Raw genomic sequence first — 22455 nt, 5'->3', positions numbered from 1 at the left:
AAATCTAAAAGTTGAGAGATAATGAAAAAGAGTAGAACTCCTAGAACCAGCATCACCATCTGTCTGAAGCCTACTTTTACACTTCCCCTGCATTATGTACCAAAATCCCAAAATTATCATATTTCAAACTTTATTCATTTAAGGAAAAGCATAGCATGATCATGAATAGCAGTAGTCATGATCAAAGAGAATTCTAGGAAATTAAGGTAATGAGAGGTCAGATCTAATCAAATTTAGGTGTCCTCAGACTCAATATTACCTTTGGCTTTAGTTTGTGTAAGTTTTGAAAAGACAGAATTCTAATGTTCTATTTTGTGGCACTCAGTGCACAGGTAGAACAACCCATGTTGTTACCACCTAAGATTTGAAGAACATATGACAATACCAAGTACAGGATTGGAAGAAGACATGGAGAAATGGCAGCTTCCATACGTGGCTAGTGTGGGATGTAAATTAGTAGAAATACAGGAGAGCAGTTTGACCATATTTATCCAAGGGAATATCCTTAAGAAGTAAAAATAAATGAATTAGAGCTAAATCTGTCACCATGCACAGATCTCAAACGTTTAATGTTAGAGAAAGCCACATATAACATCACTTATTTAAAGTTTAACACATACAGAACAACTATGCATTTTAATGGATAGATACGTGTAATGTAAAGGCAGACCACTATGGAAGGAAATGATAGAAACTGACTTCAAGCTACTGGTTATCTTGGTGGAGAAAGAAAGAGAAATGAGACTGAAAAAGGGTTGAAAAAGAGTTTCTCCTTGTTTTGTAAAATTTTATTTCTAAAGAAATAAAAATTCTAAGGAAACATGACAAAATAAGATTTATTTAAACTGGATAATGACAGATTGTGAACACAAATTTATTTTCACTCCCTCCCAAACCCCAATAAAATGATAAGTGTAATTTTAAGGCAGAAAATCTAAAAAGAGAAACATAATAGGAAAAGAGACAAGAGAAACAAATTTTAAAAGCTGGAAAGCAGATGGGATTTTCTGACTTCGAAGAACTGAGAAATGAAAATCCTGTGCTGACCAGAGAGAAGCAGAAAGACAGCTTGATTTTCTCTGCAGGCCCCCTAAGAAAGTTTAGACACTAGCAATACAAAGTACTGGAAGTACAGGTGAAAGTCTGGCCAAAATAGGAGGATGGGTTGAAAACAGGAGGATGCTGTGGGAGAAGCAGATAAAAAGTAATGATTATTAATTTTTTTATTTAAACAGTTAAATCTCAGATTCATACCTCTCTCAGAGCAGCTTGGTGGCTGCCCTTCTCACATCACTTGAAAACTGTGAGTTGATTCACTGGAGAAAGTAAAGCAGGCCAGGCATGGTGGTTCATGGCTGTAATCCCAGTATTCGGGGAGGCTGAGGCAAGAGGATTGCTTGAGCCCAGTAGGTCAAGGCTCAGTGAGCTATGATTGCACCACTGCACTCCAGCCTGGATGACAGAGTGAGACCCTGACTCAAAAAAATAAAAAATAAAAAGAATGTAAAACAGAGAGTCTCTCAGCTAGGAGACCAAGCACAGCAGAGGAATTATATTTAAAACAGGAGTAAAGGGTTTCAAGACCAGCCTGGGCAACATAGTGAGACCCTATCTCAAGAAAAATTTTAAAATAAAATTAGCTGGGTGTGATGGCATGCACCTGTAGTCCTAGAAACCCAGGAGGCTGAGGTGGGAGGATTGTTTGAGCTCAAGAGTTTGAAGCTGCAGTGAGCTATGACGGCACCACTGCACTCCAGACTGGGAAACAGTTAGATCCTGTCTCTAAAAAAATTTTTTTTTAATTATAAAAACAGGGCTAAGAGAATTTTTATATGTTGCATTGCTAAATCCACAGTCCTCTTCCCTCACTTGGTTCCTAGAACAATGGCAGTAATAAGTCTGTTATCCTTCACACAAGACACTGAAAGCAATTTCTCCACAGAACTTGGCAATCCCACAAAAAAAGACAAGATCGTCACTTTTGGTGATTCCCCAGCAAAATAACCAAGAGCCAGATACCTCTGCAGGGACTCTCAGACCTCCCAGGCCCCACCTGGGTACTCAGAGGCTTCCCATCAGGCTGCAGTGTTCCACTCTAAAACATGAACAGGCAACTCAAGGACATCAGACATCTGAGAAAAGGCCCTAAGCTGAAAGATAGGGATCAAAGCTAATAAGCAGAAAAAAGCAAGTTTGAGGAACCAGGATGCATACAAGAAAAAGAAAACTTAAAAATATATATATATATATATATAATGCTCAGAGAGATAAGAGATGATGCATTCATTTAAGAAAGGAGAACAAGATGCCATAAAAAAAATTTCAGAGAACAACCAAGATCACTTGGCAATTAAAAAGAAAAGTGAAAATTGAAAGAAAAGAGATAAGAAAATTAGGATATCAATCCAGAAAGTCTGACATCCAAATAATAGGAGTCCCAGAAAGAAGCAGAGAAAAAGGAGAGAGAAAATTATCAAATAGCTCAGGGAAATTGCCCAGTACAGAAGGATCTGAGTTTCCAGACTCGAAGAGCGCAGCAAGGGTTCAGTAAAACGGATGAAAACATGACCATATATAAACAGTTATTGAAAAATTTTAAAACATCAGGTTCAAAGAGAAAACCCTACAAGCTCCCAGAAAGGAAGACAAAAAATCACACAAAGATCAGAAATCAAAATAGTGTCAGTCTATTCCAGCGGGACTACTCCAGCAAATTTTTCTGTGAAGGGCCAGATAGTAAGTAATATGTTTAGACTTTGCAGGCTGCATACAATCTGTTGCATTTTCTTTTTTATTTTGTTTCGGAACTTTTTTTTTTTTTTTGGTTGGTTGGTTGGTTGGTTGGTTGGTTGGTTGGTTGGCTGGTTGGTTGGTTGGCTTTTACCATCCTTATAAATGTAAAAAACATTTTTAGCTCACAGGCCATACAAAAATAGGCCACAGGTGAGGTAGCAGGTGAGACTCAACTCCAGAGGTGGGGCTCAGACACTGGACCAGATTCAAGACTAGCTAAAACAGAGCCAGCGCAGAAGCAGCTTTCAATCAGACATGCCCACCAATGTGCCATGTCAATTTACCATTGCCATGGCAACACCTGGGCGTTACTGCCCTTTTCCATAGCAATGACCCAATGATCCAAAAATTACTACCCCTTTCCTAGAAATGTCTGCATAAACTGCCCCTTAGTCTGCATGCAATGTAAAGTGGGTATAAATATGACTGCAAAACTGCCCTGAGCTGCTACTCTCTGCCTACCGGTCAGCCCTGCTTTGCAAGAGCAGTCCCAGAGCTGTAATACCACCAGAGCTGTAACACTGCCTGTTGCATAAAGCTGTTTTTCTTCTACCTCTGGCTTGCCCTTGAATTATTTTCTGGGCAAAGCCAAAAACCCTCATAGGCTAAACTCCACTTTGGGGCTTGCCTGCCCTGCATCACAGGGATGTAGTTTGCTGACTTCAGTCTAGTCAACAGCAACACTGGAAGCCAGATGACAGTGGAGCAATGCATTCAGTAGCCTGAGGGAAAATTATTTCCAGCCTCTGCCTCTATACCCAGCCAAACTATCCATTAATCTCACAGTAAAAAAGACACATTTAGTCATATAAGTTCTCCAAAAATATTTCATCTAAGCACCATCTTTCAGAACACTACTGAGGCATATGTGTTACCAAAAGGAGAACATAAGTTGAAAAGAGAAAGAAAATGCCATTACAAAATCTGGGACCAAATAAGAGAAAGATGAAGGAAATCCACAGTGTGGTCCTAAAGACAGCTCTCAGATAAGGAATCCATGCCCGATTAGAGCAGGTTCAAGACTTTAGAAGAAATTTCTTCCAAAAGATGGAATTGATAGAATGCCTAATACAACTAAATATATTGAGAGGAGATTTACACAAATCACCAAAAGTTTGGGAGGAATTAAAGATAAATATAACAAAAACTTATAAAATAAAAGATAATTATTAACCTCAGAGGAAAGAAAAGTTGTGCAAGAAAGTTTAAAAAATCACAGAATACCCAACACCTCAGCTGTGGACAGCATTTATGTGGTCATAATATAAGCAATGGCTACCTAATCTCAAAAATTACAATGTATTAGGATGACAGAGGAATGTGACAGAAAAGGAAAGTGAAAGGAAGCCACATCCTAATATAGTGGGAAGTCTATATGTATGCTTCAAAGAATTAAAATAGCCATATTTTATATATTTCATATAATAATATGAAATACTAAACTAAATTAGTCAATGAAAGCCATTGAACCGGTTGCCTTTGAATTTAGGGAAATGGAAGCAGTTATTTAAACATTTAAAACTAAATGATAAATAGTGTTCCCTACACTGACTTGTCTATATTTAAACACTTTCTATTTTACAACTTTTATTTTTAAGGAGCATTCTTTATATATCAATACAAAGTGTTGTCAAATACTGTTTGCCTACATCTTCAAAGTTTTATCATAAAGAATACTAAAATAAAATATTTTGAGGTTTTTTTCCATTAGTAGAAATATTTAAAGGGATATTGTTAATCAAGTTCTTAAACAATCAAAAGTCCTAGAATCTTGCTTCACTGATTTCACCCTCCTATTTTCCTCTAATACGCTTTACTCGTCTGTAAAATCCAGCTGGTCTGGTTTCTGGGGTCACAAGGAAAAGGCATACACAGATTCTTCACAAAAGGAAGCTGTTGCAAGAATAAATAGGAACATAAGGAAGAAGAGGAAAGTGCCTCATCAGCACAATCGCCCTGTGTATTGGATATTTGTCATATTTTGGCCACCAAGCATCTGAAACACATCCTATATTGGGAAAACTTTTCTTTTTATGGAGAGTCAACAGAACACACAAGCTGCCTCCACCGTAGCCTTAAAATACCACATACAGTTGATCCTTGGACAACACAAGGCTTAGGGGTACTGACTGCCCCCCCACAGTCAAAAATCCACATATAACTTTTGACTCCCCCAAAACGTAATTACTAATAGCTTACTGTTAACCAGAAGCCTTACCAGTAACATAAACAGTCTATTAACAAATATTTTTATGGTATGTGTAATATATATCGGAAGAGAGAGAGAGAGAGAGTATTCTTAAAGCCAGCTACAGAAAAGAAAATATTATTAAGAAAACCATAAGAAAGAGAAAATGTATTTACTGTTCATTAGGTGGAAGTGGATCAACATAAAGGTCTTCATCCTCATCATCTTCACATTGAGATGGCTAAGGAAGAGGAGGAGGAAAGGTTGGTCTTGCTGTCTCGGGGGTGGCAGAGGCTGACGAAACCCTTGTGTAAGTGGACCCATGGAGTTCACACTCACGTTGTTCAAAACATGTCGTTCAAGGGTCAACTGTACTCACCTTCCCAGGCTCCCTTGCGCAGCTCTCTAATCCTCGAAACAATTGTTTGAGCTCCCCAATACCTCTTGAATGCAACTCTTTTCTGTGTAAATAAGCCAGAATTGATTTTCATCACTTCCACTTTAGAACCCTATCTTATTCACTTCTGGAACTTGGAAGCTGACATCAGTCTGCTCTTAAATGTAGAATCAGCTGATTGAAGGATGGAGGATGGAGGAGGAGGATGGAAGGATCTGAGGATCCCTGTCTCTCCAGAGGGTTAGTTTATAACTCTTGTCACATAGATGCAAAATATGTGGCTAGATGTTTGCCTGGTGTACCTTTGGACTTATAAAATGTAGTCACCAAAACTAAGGTATTTTTTTAAATGTGAAAATTTCAGATTTTGGCATGTTTTGGCAATCTCTTGCAGCTTTCGGTGAGGTACTGTAAGAAAGAGATAAGTTTAATATCCAGTATAAAAGAGTAAAGAAAATACAACTTTGCTAATAAAGGGTCTTTCAGTTACCCAAAAGTCCAATAATTTTGAGCCTTTCAAATTTCAAGAAACCAAATTCTCTACCCCAAGCCAACGCATAGACACTGAAACTAAACCTTAGAAGGAGTAAAGATCACAGTTATAGGAAAGCTTGACTGCTCAGGCCTCAGCTCAATGAACACAGTACTTTCTCTGTAAAGAATACAGCCGGGAGCAAAGATACGAACCGAGCCAGTGCTTCTTCGTCTAAGGCCATTGCTTTGAATTGCATCAGGGTGGAGCTCATTAAGTTGAGAATCACAAAAGTGAGCAGATCAGAGTTCTGTAGAATTTAAGGAATCACAGACAGTTAAAAACGGATCTGCACCACATTTACTTTCTGTTTGATCTTCTCTTCCCCCAAAGTTTTGTCTTTTTCTCCATGTATTAGCTTTATTTTTTCTCACTACAAAAGGATCTCCTCCACACACTTTTTCAATTAATATTCAAAAACTCCTGGAGGAAGGCTATGATTGGCCCAGGTTGGGCCACACCCAGTGCTCAAACTTGGACTGATTAATTTTAGCCAGATGTCCTGGAAACTGCAATTGGTCCAATCTTTGACTGCAATGGGGGCAGGCTAGAAGAGGCCATTCCTGGAAAGGAGGATGGTGAAAGCAATATCAGATGGTCTCACTTGATTTTGAAGACAACGCTATGAGGTATGTACCACTTTTTCTTGGTAACTTATATTGTTATATCTGTTGTAAAGAAGAATGTTACACTTATAAAAGTCAAACTCCTAATGAATGAATGTAGACTTAGTAAAATGAAGAGCCAGGATTCAGACCCAAATCTATCTAATACCACAGCTCATTTTCTTAAATTTCTTCTTTACAGTGCATCTTAGGGCTGTGTTATTGTTGCAAAACTTGTTTCAAAAATAAATTTCAATAAATGATGATGGAGGTCTACTCTCACTAATGACAAGATTTTTGCAATTCTCCTGGGCTTTTTCTTCTGTTATTATATGCAATGGAAAAGGAAACATCTAATTAAATTGAATCTACAAGAAGCCATGAGAGGAGAGAAAAGAGAAAGGTAAGAAAATATTTTATTGGAGGAGTCTGTGTCATCCATGGCAAGGATGAAGGCAGCCTTACTAAAAAATAAAGATAAAATAAAATAAGTTTTAAAAGAGAAAATACTTCATTGAAGAACAAAAGCCTCATACAGTTTTATAAAATAATGACATTTCAAATAACAGTAACATTTATTGAGCACTTATTATGTGCTCAGCCTTGTTCTAAGTATCTTACATGTATTATCTCATTTACACCTCATAGCTTATTAAAATAAATAACATCTTAGAGACCTTTATAAAAAATGTCTAATTCTGATCTCCTTCCACCCTTTAACAATATAACTTTTATATTCCTTGTTTTTTCTCCATTGGCAGTAATGCACTGTTCCCATGTAGCATTAACAGCAACAGTCAATGATTAGTTCAGGCAATTCTCAAAACCTTCTGAGAATGAAGCTCCCGCGTATCCTGCACCTCAATAACTCGGTTATCTCCATCCCTCCAGGTTATCTCCATCCCTTGTGATACCTGCTGCTGCCAGATTGCTGCTTCATTGATTTATGGTGAACACTCAGTTCTCTATCACATCACACAGCCCCCATCCCTCTCTGTCTCTCTCCACCTTCCCCCTTGACTTCCCAGGATCTCGACACAGTTCTATGATCAGCCATTTCTCTTTCCACATCACCTTCATCTGTAAGTCCTCCCCTCCTTCCTCCACCCCTCCCTGGCTGCACCCCTGCCCTCCCTGAGGGCTGCCTGACCTGTCTCACACAACTCTCTGGTTCAGACTGGAAGACTCCTCTCATCTGTCCTTGAATTTCCTCTATTCCTACTCCATTGTCTTCACCTTTGTCTTTGTTTGGTTTGTTTGTCTCCTCTTTATGTGTCCTCTCATTTCTGCTACATTCAGAATACCTATTTTACTCCTTAAAGCCACTGAGTCTACCCCTCACCTTGAAAGCTTCCTTTGAATCCTTTCATAAAATGTCCCATCCTGTGGATAGCCGAAAACAGAATCAGGGCTCCTCCTTCAGCCTCCGTCTCAATTTTCATTTCTTCCTTTTCAAACAAAAAATTGTTTATATTTATGGATTTCTGCCAGATCTCCCAACTTCTGAGAAATTAATTTTAGTAATTAGAGAGCACCATTGCAAAAGATATAATATTTCACTTTCCATTTCACCACTCCCCTTCTTTCTAAAGGGTAAATTTTCTTAATTTTAATTTTTATAATTCTGACCCAGATTATTAATGTACCTTTTTAAAGAAAATTATTTTACATTCTTATATGTTTACTAAATGTTTAAAGACACAAGCAACTTTCTGGTATTTCCAAGTCTATTATCTTTCATGAACTACAGTGGAAAAATCCCTTTGTAATGTCACCTTTTCTGGCTACATATTTTTTCTTTCATGTTTCTTCTGTGGAACTATAAACTCCCAAATCAACATTTTCTCCTCCATAGTTGACATCCATGATCATATACCTTCCAACTCAGCCATATTGTAACCTATGAATCATTGACCCCATATAAAAGCTTCAACCCCAATTATTTGCAAGAAATAAATTTCCTTTGTCAATATTTAGCTTTAATTCTTATATGAAAATTGAAAAATTGAATCTAGTAGGAATTGCTGCATTTTCTCTTTGATGCATTTTGACGTTAACTGATTTACCTTATTATGATGAGTTTTGCCCAGATGTGTAAGGAATGGCAGGGTACTTCAAACCACTCACATGCTCCTCTTCTTTCTCCCTTTCCATGTGCAAAAGGAGAAATTAGAACTCGGGTCAAGGGCTGGGGCAGTATTGGTTGGCTCTTATTTGAGATTCTGTCTTAAATACTACATCATTTCCCTTATCTCGCACTCATTCTGGAATTTGAAATCCATATGTAATACCCTGGGGGTTTTGTTCTCTTTAGTATTATCCTTCATTAATTTGGCTAAGAGTCGTGAGTGCAGTTAGCCAAGGCCCCATGCCTATACATCTGTCCGCATCTGAAATTTATATGGGACACAAAAAGAGGAAACAGAAACCAGAACCCCTTCTTTTTAAGGTTCAAATTATTAGAATATGACTGATGGCCCAGGGTGACCCAGACCAAAGCCATCTCTCAAGAGAGGTCAACAGAGGGCCTTCCAGAAGACATTCCTCATGATGGAGAAGGAGGAGCCTCAGTTTCTGCTTCTTGCCTGCGTGGAAGGCCGGTTCTCATGTGTGTCCAGGTTTCCATGATGCTTCTTTCAGCAGAGGGCCCTGACTGTAACTGCCAGAAACTCAGGGGCCTGGGCAAAGATAGAAACAAAAAGATAAAATGGGGACTTTGGGTAATCTGCTCAGATTTTCTAGTTTTATGGTCCCGCTGGAGTAAAGAAATACCTAAAAGTTCTTGTACTTAACAAGAGAAGAATGGGCTTTTCACAAACCCGTGGATGAGATTCACTGATTTTCTTCTTTTTGTTTTAAAGAGACTTTATTTTGTACTCTATGCACTCTGTGACTGAAGCAGGAACCTATGTACATACAACAATGGAGTATTTTGCAATCCCACTTTAGTCCATTCACGGTGATAACTGGAGTCCTTTATCCCTCAGTGCCCCTAAGCAGCCATTCTCGTTCACTTTACAGAACAGTTGCCTCTAGCTATGTCATGTACAGAAAATCACTTAATCCATGTGGGTGAAGTGTTTTTGGTTGTCCCCTGCGCTGGTTAAAACCCTGTGCTATGCATAAATGAAAGGCATTTGGCAGACGATTAACCTCATCTGTTCACTATCAGAGTCCTCTTTCACACTTCTTAGAAAGAATGCTAAATTTAAGCACTACATTCATTAGAATAGTAATCAAGTCACATCTCCTTCATCTGCCCCCTATTCTTAAAGAGAATAAATGGGTTATTTAGGTCATTAGCCCAAGTAACATTTTCACAGTATTCCCTCAACAGTTAATCTCTCTTGTGAGAGATTCTAAAAATAAACTGCTCCTCTGTTAAATTACAGCTCACCCCAAATTCCTTATTACATGAATATATCAGCTCATGCATTTATATTTCATGGGTCCAGCATAGCCTCTTCCTGAAAAGCTATAAAACAATTTTTCCATTTCAACAAATATCTCACTTTCTGCCTCCAGCTCCCTCTTCTGGACCCAAAAAGCCACAGAGAATTTCTTAGTTCCTCTTTCCTCTCTGCTCATCTGTTTTCATTGTTCTCTCCCTCTTCCTCCTCTTTTTGCCCATGCTTTGCTCCATTTTGATCCAGTCTTTCAGCTTGGCCCTCCCTTTTCTCTCTTTCAAAGTTCCCTTCCGATGAACTGGCCCAGGTCTCAGAGTGTAAAAGACCATAATCTGTCCTTCCTGGGCTGTCCTCAGTGACTTTCTATCATGGATATATTCTGGAAGGCTGAAGAGTTTCTTTACTGCCTTCTTCTGTTCTTCATTTTCCCACTCCTTTCCTTTTTTTTTGTCCTTGTTCACTATATACTCAGTCAGCTCTAATTGATCCTATGGCAACTAATTCTCCTCCACCATGAATTAAGTTAGTAGCTTGCTCACAGGCAAAGTTTCTTAGCCATCAAAATGAATCGATGAGATTGTTATTATTATTATCACCCAATTTTAGAGATAAGAACATTAAAGCACAGAGAGGCTAAATATAACTTTTCCAAGCTAACAAAGCTAGTAAGTTGCAGAGCCAAGATTCAAATCTATCTACCTAACTCCAAAACCCATGATTTTTCAACCTCCCCATACTGCCTTTGCATGCAAGTGTGCCATGCCTTCCTGTGGTTAGCACTGTCACTTATTACTAAGCTTCATGAGAATTTTGGTTTAAGATACATTTAAATTAAAAAGCACCTATATTGCCCTAGAATAAGAAAAGCAGTTGAAAAATAAAGATAAAAATACAGAGGCTTTATTTGAATGTGGCTTTTGTTGCAAACATTTTTTAAGTTAAGAAAATTAAAAATAATAATATAAAAAAGAAGCTTTTAGGAGGATATTAAGCATAAGCATATATTGGTTGGGGGGGGAGGGTATCATGTTGTATTCCTAAGGGTAAAGAACGTAATTGTAACTACACATACATCCCCCCAGAAAACTAGATCTTCACCTGTTGCCTTTCTCATGCCCATACAAAAACCTATTAAAGTTCCTGTGAATTACCCTAGGGGAGCAAACCAATGTTGGTATTAGGAAAGAGACATATTTTTGTCTTTTTTTAAATAAAAGGGATTCAATTCAGAAATCAAGAATTTCTCACTGATGAAGAAAACTTAGGAACACTTATCTAGTAAGGGCAAAGGAAAGAGTAAGTGTAAGAACAGAAACAGCAACATAGCATAACCATGGAGAGTGAGGCCAGGAGGCACAGACGAATGAACAAGAAGAATGTCGACATGGCAGCAGGTGCGGCACATGAATGCAACGCAGAGCACAGGGACAGAATGATGAGGTGCATGAGGAAGAGCACAGCAGTCTGCCACACACACACAGGCACTCGAGGACCTGGAGGCAGCCAAGCAGACCTACAGAGGGAGGCCGAGAACCTGTGAAGCTGGTAAAATTCTCACTTGCCCAAGAAGTGACCATTTTACCCAGGATTCAAGGGGAGCCCCAAGAGAAATCATTGAGAGTCTCCAGCTTGAAAACAACTCTCTATGAAAAGCTGTAATAAAATCACAGAATTTTAAATCTGAAAAGGAACTTAGAGATTATCTCATTCGACGCTCTAATTTTATCATACTACATATGCTGCCTGGTAAAGAATGCTGGATTTGGTATCAGAAGATCTAGAGAAAAGATAAATGTTAAATAATGTAATGAACAGTGAATCACTACACAAAAGTGTTTTCATCATCATTGTCATCTTGTGTAATCTTCATATTTGACCATAGAGTAGAAAGTGCAAACATTGGTGTCCCAGTTTTACCAATGACAGACTTAAAGAGATTTAGTAAATTATATTCACCAGCAAGTGATAGAGAAACAACACTGTAGAAACTGTCTTATTTCTGGTTGTAATATATTTTACTATGTTTTCTTTGAAGATTAATGTATGAGTATAATGGAGGGTTTGGTGAGAAAAGAAGTGAAACTTGAAAACGTTTTAGCTAAAAGAGAAAACTAGACCAGTATCATTTTTAAAGGGGAATCAAATGGAACTAGACCAGTATCATTTTTAAAGGGGAATCAAATGGAATAATCAGATAATATCTTTAAGTCGGTAAGCCTAATTTTAAAAGGATTAAACTACTTTCCTGGAAAATTACTTTCTCCAGAGAAGCTTCTTTCCCTCAAACTGCTTTTTATTTATTTATTGCCTGAAGAGTTTAAATAAAGATAATAAATTGCATGATCAATAGAAACAACAAAGTTGCTTTGCTTAGAGCTGATAACAGAGTGTATAGATTTTCCATGAATAATTGAAAATGCCCGACAAAGAGGTTTAAACTCTCCTGTCTCTACCCCTCTCTTTCTCTCCGTTTTTCACAGAGCCAATTCCTAAGTCTCCCTACAGAAAAGAAATCAAATGCAACCAAGTCAACCACTCCCATATCCAAGAGGGTTTATTTATTGCCTGCAGGGAGCCACAGCCAGCCATGTGGCAGTAAGTACTCAGGAAGATCAGCAGCTCATGGCTGCACGAAGTCATCTACAGGCCTAGGAGAGGCAACCTGGCAGTTACTCCTTAGGCAAGGCCCAAGAAATAAACGTGTATAGCCAGGCAATTTTTTTGCTGCACTTTGCACTAACTCTATCACCCTCAAGCCTGCCATTCTTCAATGGGCATCTTCAGTGAGATCTCCCCAAGATGAATGTTGGTGTAGTTTAGGGACCTCTCACACTTTCACTCTACCAACAGTGATCCTAGAGAAGCTTTTCTATACATATGGCTCAATTCCCCAGGATCCTAGCAGAAAAAGTTTGTGAAAACTTAAGGCTGCTGTAGTTCAGTGTCTGGTTCAGGCTGCCAAAATTTGGTCCTTTTCATGGCCACAGTCTAGGCTGTGGGGGCTTCTTCTCCCCTTCACTCTCTCTCATTCTCCTCAGCAGTAGCTGAAAAACAATGAGCTAGAAAGTGGAAAACTAAAATCCAAGCCCGCTCTTCCAATGGCTGGAGACTAAGGGGCCAGTCATCTCTACTGTCCCAGTACCCAGCACAGACTATGGCACATAGTAAGTGCTTAAAAAACGTTTGTTAAATGAATTGATAAATACATTTAATATCAAGGGGCCTCCAATTCCTCATTAGTAAATAGGAAAGTTACACTAGGTCCCTTCAAAAATCTCCAGCTCTGAGACTTTAAAATGTCAGTAGCATCACACTTTTAGGCTAGCTTTCAGGATAGTATAATTATATTAATTAAGATAAGGCAGTGTTCCCCTTCTGACATGATGGAGTAAACTGATAGATCAACTCTCACACAGATAACGACTACTTAGAGGCTCTGCAGAGTGAACAAAGCAAATGGCTGTGTGTTTGGGTGCAAAATGGTACGATCACTTAGGAAAACACTTTGGCAGTTACTTACGAATGCAAACGTATATTTACCATAGCATGCATCAGATCTACTCCTAGGTATTTACCCAAGAGAAATGAAAACATACGCTCACCTAAAAAACTTAAACTGCATGTTTATTATGGCTTTACCCTTAATCATTTAGACTGAAAACAAACCATATGTCTTTCAACTAAGGAATAGATAAGCAAATTGTGCTACATTCATGCAGTGAAATAACACTCAACAATAAAAGGGAACAAATGACTAACACATGTAAGAACATAGATGAATCTCAAATGCATTATGCTACATGAAATCAGCCAGACTCAAAAGGCCAGAGGGTGTATGATTTCATTTATATGATATTCTGGAAAAGGCAAAACTATAGGAACAGAAAATTGAATGTTGGTTATCAGGGACTGAGTTTAGAGGAGGCGGTGACAGCAGGAAGACATGAGGACTTTTGGAAGGTAATGAAACTGTTCTACATCTAGGCTTCTAATCTGTGATGGTACTAACACAATTGTATGTGTTTGTCAAAACTCACAGAATTGTATATTAAAGAGTAAGCTTTTAAGTATTTTTATAATTATGTAGATTATACCTCAATAAAATTGACCTTAAAATAAGGCAAAACAAAGGAAAGAAATGGGTCTCTTCTAAATCAGGGCAGACTAAGAAGACATAACTGCCAAAGGCTGTGCATGAGCCTTGATTAATTCCTGGATTGGGAGTGGAGGGGGGGAAAACCAGCCACTTAGGAACAACTGGGAAAATCTGAGTTTCGACTCTGTTGATAATGCAATTGAGATAGTAATTTTTTCTCAGGTGCAGTCATGAGCTTTAGTCTCATAATCTGCCCCTGTTCTTGACAGGTATGCACGGTTGTACTTATGGGTAACTGGTGATGTCTGCAAACTTATTTTGGATATTTTGGCAAAAGAGAAATGAATATGTATATTCAGAAAGAAAGATGAAATAGGAATCTCTTCTGAAATTTCAAAAGAGATTTGAAAGGGTTTGAACGATTTCACAATAAAAATGAATGCATTTTGTTAAACCCTCGTCATGTATACCTGCAACCCCCATCTCCTGACCTTTTGCTGGATGCTGTGGTTTCACTGGCCCATCTCCATTTTCCTCCAGTTCTGTTTTAGGAGTTTCTACCCTTTGCAGTTCTCTGCTTCATTTCTTATTCTCTGATCATGCCTTTCGGCTGCCTGGAAAGCATTTGTTTCCAAGGCTGTTGATCTCTGGCATTGCCCTTCTCGTTCCTCTCCCCTGAGCCAAAGCCTGACCTGTACAGCTTTGCTCTTTTTAAGTATAATCTATATTCTCCAAGTATCTTTAACAGAGTCAAGTGGTATTTAGGCCTCTCCAAGACCATCTACCTTCTCCTTTAAAAACTCCCCATTCAGCTTTCTGCCCTCCCTGTTGAACTGGAAGGACATTCACCATCTTTTCCTCCATTAAGCTCACAGCCTCTGCTACCCAGCCAGCTGGGTCAGGGACGGTTTTGCTTCTCACATCTCATATACTTCCCATCCTTATATTACCCTCCTCCATTGTTCTGTCTCACCTAAAATTTAGCTGTGAATTCCCCTCCTTTCCTCTTGCCTTTTCTCTCTCAGGAACACAGACATACCAAAAGTGATCCTTTCTCATCAGGGCATCACTGTAGGTGTGGTCTAGGTGGACAGGAGCCTCCAGTGGGGAGACCTGAGAGAGCCACAGGAATATCCTGCAGCCTGACGCAGGTACAGATATCTTGGGATGGCATAACAGAGGCATAGGCAAGCCTTTTATGTAAAAGACGAGAGAGTAAATATTCTAGGCTTTGCAGCCAAAAGGCAAAATGAAGCAGCTGTTCTTACAAAAGGCTAACAGTCCTTTACATTTTACACTTAAAAATGTAAAAAAGAAAAAAAAATCTTTGCTCTCAGGACACAGGTGGTAGTTCGTCAACCCCAGGGAAAATACACTGGGTGAACTCTTGGTTTAACTTTAGAAGAGTTAGAAATTGCTTTATTCACCTTCTTTGTTTCACTGACATAAGGGCAGTACCAATAAAAAGAGCTTGGGCTCAGGAGTTATTACACCTCCTGGCCCCAGCTGCTCTACTGTAGTTCTCAGAAAACATCATGACGTCAACCAATACCCAATCCCTACAGAGACCTGTGACTTCCTCAGGATTCTGAAGATAAACAAGTTGCTTAATGTCTGTTCTCTTCCTTGTTATCTTGTGGCAGCTGTCAGGAGGGACACTTGCCTTTCAAAGCCCTTAGAAAACATCATCTTGCTTCCTTTAGAGAATGAAAGCAAGGAGTACCATCTCTTCAATATATTCCTCCAACTGAAAAGTTAATTATAATTGTTATGTCAGTTTTGTGAATGAAATGGTCTGCTGACAAGTGGCTTTTAGAACTGAGCTTAGGCTGTTTTCCATGGTTTCCATGCATGACCCATTAAACATGGCCAGATTGTCTGGCAGGTTTTTGTATCCAGGGCCTCCTGTGCCTTTCTCTTCACTACTGTGAAGATGATGATGCTCAGTTATTCTAAATCCCACCCTAATAAGAACTTCCTAGCAACTGGGAGCTCATTGGACTTCTGTTTTTTTTTTCTCATAAGTATTTCTCTGCCTTATTCATCTGGATATATATATATATATTTTTTTTTTTTTGAGACGGAGTCTCACTCTGTCCCCCAGGCTGGAGTGCAGTGGCGCGATCTCAGCTCACTGCAGGCTCCGCCTCCCAGGTTCACGCCATTCTCCTGCCTCAGCCTCCCAAGTAGCTGGGACTACAGGCGCCTGCCAACACACCCGGCTAATTTTTTGTATTTTTAGTAGAGACGGGGTTTCACCGTGTTAGCCAGGATGGTCTCGATCTCCTGACCTCGTGATCTGCGCATCCCAGCCTCCCAAAGTGCTGGGATTACAGGCATGAGCGACCGCACCAAGCCTCATCTGGATATCTTTAGATGAGTCTGATCCCACTTGGCAGGTAAATTTGGGATATTTGCTCTCAAAGAAGTAGGTATGTAATTTACATGATTATGCAAATGAAACATCACTTCCTTGAGGCAGATCTGCTTGCTCTACCCTGATCGATAACCTTCTTTTTTCAGCACAGCCACATGGATACATATCCATTCAAATAAATTAACATTCCAATCCTGGAAAGCTGATTTCAGAAGAATGAATTGGTAAAATGCTAATAGCAGGTAAAGTGGAGTTCAAACTCACTAATCAAAGAGACATAAATTTAAAACAATTCAGAGCAATCTCTTAGCCATTGAAACTGCAAATCCTTTTGTAAAGGATAACGTTGTGTCAGCTTCAAGGTGATGATGTGGGAATGCCTGCCTAAGCAACACAGCTGGGGCAGTGAAGGCAGAGCATCTGACTTCAAATTCTGAACACTGGCAGTATCCTACTCTATCCCATGAGATAATGTTTAAATAGATCATAGTATGATCTATTTAATAAATAGACAATTATTAAAATTCATGCTCTGTATTAGTCTGTTTTCATGCTACTGATAAAGACATAACCGGGACTTAGTAATTTATAAAGAAAAAGAGGTTTAATGAACTCACAGTTCCATGTAGCTGGGGAGGCGTCAAAATCATGGTAGAAAACAAAAGGCACATCTTACATGGTGGGGGTAAGAGAGAATTGAGGATTAAGTAAAGGGGGTAAACCCCTTAAAAAGCCATCAGATCTCATGAGACTTATTCCCCACCAAGAGAACAGCATGTAGGAAACTGCCCCCATGATTCAATTATCTCCCATGAGCTCCCTCCCACAACACATGGGAATTATGGGAGCTACAATTCAAGATGAGATTTGACTGGGGACACAGCCAAACCATATCAGTCTCTAAGAATAATTAACGATATAGGGAAATGTTCGTGGCATTATACTAAGTGAAGGAATTAGTATACAAAACTGGATACAAAGTATGATCCCAATTTATTTTAAAATATGAATACAAAAATATAGGAGTATGTTTTTGTGTGTTGAATGGCATGTCAAGTGAAGATTCCCTGGATTTACATGTTGAACTAAATTTGCTTAAGCTACTAATTCCATGCCTTATGACAAAGCAAACCTCTTTCTAAGATTTCCTGAGGGATGATATATTCACGGTCATCTCAGCTCCACAATCCTCTTTTTGGTCCTGCATCATTTCAGATTTTAGAGTGTTAGCTCAGCTCCCTCCTCAATTTCTTTAGGTTTTTATTTCTTAGCCCAAACCTCACTATTCAATTTCTACCAAGAAAATAATTACATAAAGAATTCAGGAGTATAATAGAATCAAGCATTTGGAAGAAAGATGCAGGAAAACTTCATACGACAATGTGCAAATCATTACAAACTGAACATTATCATTTTCAAAAATTATGTTAGCTACCTCACCACAGGAAAACTTCCCGTGGCCCATTTGCACATTAAGTCACTCGGTTTCATATTTCATGAGCACATCTTTCCTCATCCTCTCTTTCTTCTCTACCTCTCCTCCATTAGAGCAATAAAATAAATTCTCTCATTTTCCTATGCAAAGCCACTAGACATTCCCTTTTGTAGCTGAGATTCCTGGACAACAGTTCTCTCTAAATCCTGCCTTCTATCCTAGGCTGCTGAACTAGGTATTTCCCAAAGTCAATTCCCACTGTAAGCGTAATCTAGTATACCAATTATTAAAATGGTGGTCCTCAAATCAGCCTGCTCATTGGAATTTGAGAAGTTTTTTGGTCTTATTTTTTATATAAATATTAGTTCCTAGGCCCCTTCAGAAGGTCTGAGGGTGTGGCTTTGTTACAGATTTATCTTTGACATCCATGCAACTCTAGCGTGCAGGATGAAAAGCATGCAGAGTTGAAAAAAAAATGCTGAAATAAAAAGCATTTGCATTGTTACACATATACCATATATCTTTGATTCTATGATGCATTTTTTTACCTCTTGATTTTTTTAAAATTAGGATGCATTTAATAATTTATATCAAAAAGAACTTGCAAGCTGCCAAATAGATTAAGTTGTGACATACTTATCATTTCTTGCAATGCATATGGGAACGGTGCCCAGTCTCTCCAAATATATCATGAAATCTTAAAAGCTTGGAGAGTTTGATGTGACTGATTCATGCATTATGAAGGACTATTATTTAGGCACTGAAAATCCATGAGTAAAAGCTTCTGGCTAAATTTGAAGAGAGGCCTGTGATGTGTAATTCAATAGAAGAAAAAATTATGAGTTTAACAAAATAGGGAATGTGGATAAAATCCCATTACAGTTGACTCTTGAACAATGTGGGGGTTACTGTCTCGGGGTGGCAGAGGTAGAAGACGTAAAGGAGGTGGAAGGGGAGGCAGGAGAGGCAGGCACTCTTGGTGTAATTTGTACTGAAAAAAATCCACATATAAGTTGCCCCATGCAGTTCAAACTTGTGTTGTTCAAGGGTCAACTGCATTGTTTACTATACTTTGACATTAGGCTATATAGATACAGATGTCAAAGAGATCAAGATTTGAAGCACACATTATAGGAGCAGCACAAAACAGAGATGATATGCAGAATTAAGACTGGCCCAAAGTGATTCAGAAGAAACTTTAAACTCATGATGAGAAGGAAACTCATTCTCAAGTGTTATGCAAAGAAAATGGTACACAAATGCCATTTTTTTAGGAAAAAAAGAAATATACTTTTAACTTTGTTTTTCTTGAAATGTAATAAATAGGCTAGGCACAGTGGCTCATGCATGTAATCCCAGAATTTTGGGAGGCCGAGGCAGATCGCTTGACTCCATGAGTTCGAGAACAGCCTGGGCAACATGGCAAAACCCCATCTCTACAAAAAATATAAAAATTAGCTGGGCATAGTAGTGCATGCCTGAAGTCCCAGCTACTTAGGGGACTGAGGCAGGAGGATTACTTGATCCCAGGAAGTCAAGGCAGCAGTGAGCCAGGATTGCACCACTCCACTCCAGCCTGGGTGAAAGTGAGATCCTGTGAAAGAGAGAGAGAGGAAAGAAAGGAAAGGAAAGGAAAGGAAAGGAAAGGAAAGGAAAGGAAAGGAAAGGAAAGGAAAGGAAAGGAAAGGAAAGGAAAGGAAAGGAAAGGAAAGGAAAGGACAAGGAGGGGAGGAGAGGGGAGGGGAGGGAAAGTGATAAATAAACCAATATCCCATTTTATAACAGATAGTACCTTAGAATTGAAGAACTATACCACATGTAGATATTCATAATCATAGAAAAACAACTGGAATGAAATGCATAAAATATTAGCAGTTGTTAAGAAATAGACACAATAATTTTTATTATCTTCTTTGTTTTACTTTCCAAATGTTCTAAGGAATATAGGTAACTTTTGTAATGAGGAAAATCAGGGAATTTTATTAAAACAAATATGGCAGCACAGGCATGTCCCTTTCTATCTCTCACTTCCCCTAAAAAAAAACCATTGGACAAAAATACAAATATCAAAATAAAAGAGATAAAAAAGCCAAAACTAGATTTCAGAGGACTTAAGCTGTAAGCCTTTTAACAATGACATTTTTGTTTTTTGAGTGAAGTCCAAAATGTAAATGATTGTTAAGATTGTCTCCATACTCTTTCTCCATACCCCAAACAATCTTTAATCAAACCCGGAGCCCAGTTTACCAGAATGTCGTTAAAAATGCCAGAAAAAAAAGAGGCTAAGAAGCTGTCCACCTTCTCCCTTTCCAGCATCTCTCATCCAAATGGCAGGCTGTGAAACACACACTTAATTTGATTGGTATTAATGCATGCACATAGATTCCAAAATGTCAGCAAGATGCATTTGCTTTCAAGTTATATTAATTCTGCTGATTACAAAGAGTTGGGTAAATAAATCTTAGTTATACACCAAATATGTTTTAAGGTCCTATCAGATACATGCCTACAATTTTTCTTCTCTACTGCCTCACTTTCATTTATACAGGTATACATTTGACAAAAACTATGCACCAGGCACTATTCTAGGCCCTGGGAAAAGAGTAATGAATGAAACAAGCAAAGTCCCTGCCTTCAATCAGCTTATATGAGGCTGGGGTGAGAGAACAAACCAGAAACAAATAAGCGCATTGAATATAATAATAATAATAAAAAAGAACACCTGGATGAGAAATGCCTGGGGCCAGGCAGGGAGAGAGGAGCAAAGACAGATAGTTTAGTTAGAATGTTCAGGGACTTCCTCTGAGGAAGTCACATTTGCACTGAGACTGGAATGATGACAAGGAGGTAGCCTGCAAAGGATCTGAAGAAGAGCATTCCATGCAGGGGAACAGCAAGGACAAAGGCTGACCATGAAGTGGAATAAGCTTGGTGTATGCACAGAACAGAGTGAGAGAAGGGGAAGGGCTAGAAGGTGAGATCAAAGATTTAAGCAGGAGACAGATCATGTAGGGCAGAGCAGGCCATAGGATAGAGCTGGAATCTTATTCTACTTGTTATATGAAACCTTTGGAGTAATATGATGTGATTGATGTGCCTTTTAAAAATTTATAGCACAATAAGGAGATAAACTTTATTCCTCCTCTGATCTGTTCACGCCTTCAGAGATAAACTAGAATGAGAATATTTTAGAACAAAGTCAGAAAACCTGAAATCAAGACCTATCTCTTCCATCTAGACGCTGCATTACCTCAATCTAGATATTTAGTCCTCCGGTCTCAGTTTTCTCATTTGTAAAATGGAAATACTACATCGTAGTATTGAAATGAGATGAAGGATTTAAAATCACCCATATAGTGTTAGTCAGAATGTCAAGTCCCTCTTTCTTTCCCTCGTTCCTATGAAGAACAGGAGACAGGTACACAGAGGAGGGAATCTGAGGAACCTGCAGAGCTGATGGGATAAGGGAGGCAATGGGAGCATATCCTTTGTTGTAGATTGGCTTCCTCCAAAGCAGACTCTGAAACAAGGATACGAGTTGCAGTAGTTTGTTTGGGAGATATCCCAAGAAGCACCATTAAGGAAGTAGAGAACTAAGAGAGGAAAGGGAAAGAAGCCAGTCAAGAGAATATTATGAAGCATGATACCACTATGGGCAAATGGGGGCTCAATCATCTGAGGGAATACAGGAAAGCAGTGTAGAACACACCTTGGATTTTTCCCACCTGGAGAGCAAGGGGGCTTGGTGTTTACCCATCAAGTCCCTCGGTCCCAAGGGCTATACTTCCTCTGTACTTAGCCTTACTTCCAACCTGTCCTGCCCTTGGGCTGAGAGATCTTCCACAGCCAGAGGAAACTCTAAGCAAAGAGTCACAGGTCCTTGCAGATAGAAGCCATAGGATAGGCAGGCACAGGAATGGTGGGTGCCCAGCAGATGTGGCTGGGCTCTGGAAGCATCTGCCATAACCTCAGTCCCTTCTCAAGCATACTGTGAGGCCCCTTGGATAGGAAAGACCTTTTTGTTGTCTGAACTGCAAGGTGATTTTCTCCAGTCGGTGACAACCCCTGGGAATGCTACATGTGATAATGCCCACTGACTACACCACCAGGGGCCCCATAAAAAGATCCTTCCAGAAGGGCAAAAAGTGTGGGCACAACATCTCTACTCACACCTGCAGGACAACTCATAGTCCTGGCCTCCTTTTGGACCAGGTTCCTGGTTTTTAAACAAAAAATAGTTTGAACCTGTTAGGAATTCCACCTCTAGGGAAATTTTCCATAAACAGCCTTTCTGCTTAAGAAAAAGTTGAAATCAATATGCTTTGAAAATAACCAGGCTTTGCTAAGTTTGGTCATTGGGTGGTATTTATTATTTTGCTATATCAAATGACAAGACCAAGAGCCAGCATTTATTCAGAGACTTTTCCATACATCAGGAAAGAGAGGCACATAGCTAACATAGTATAAATAAGAACTACAAATTGACCTGTAATACAATAAAATAGAACATGATAGAGCCAGATGTCATCTAATGGAACTCTACTGCATTTGAAATGACATAATGTAGCCCAAGAAAGAGCATGCCTAATATCTTTGAGGATTAACAATACAAGCCTTGTGCAGTG

General features: G+C 39.0%; 2 long non-coding RNA genes across 3 annotated transcripts in view; one reads left to right on the top strand and one right to left on the bottom strand.

Moving 5' to 3' along the window:
- Window positions 1–5197: 5197 nt before the first annotated feature.
- The window catches only part of LOC105375970 (uncharacterized), a 42693-nt gene continuing 25435 nt past the window's right edge, over window positions 5198–22455 (bottom strand). Inside the window, exons 3-5 of one of the 2 annotated variants that reach the window (XR_929460.3) lie at window positions 8582–9193; window positions 7858–7963; window positions 5198–5786 (exon numbers count right to left, since the gene is read on the bottom strand). This is a non-coding gene — a long non-coding RNA (uncharacterized LOC105375970). Of the gene's footprint in view, window positions 5787–7857; window positions 9194–22455 lie in introns of both variants that reach the window. The other variant, XR_007061414.1, reaches the window with a different exon arrangement.
- LOC102723994 (uncharacterized) lies at window positions 6323–7756 on the top strand. Its single transcript, XR_428445.4, has 3 exons — window positions 6323–6539; window positions 6718–6918; window positions 7407–7756. It is a non-coding gene; the product is annotated as an uncharacterized LOC102723994 (long non-coding RNA).

Source organism: Homo sapiens, chromosome 9 (genome assembly GCF_000001405.40).
Source record: "Homo sapiens chromosome 9, GRCh38.p14 Primary Assembly".
Taxonomy (NCBI): Eukaryota; Metazoa; Chordata; class Mammalia; order Primates; family Hominidae; genus Homo; species Homo sapiens.
Note: the sequence above shows the minus strand (reverse complement) of the source record. Positions and strands in the feature narration are given on the sequence as shown.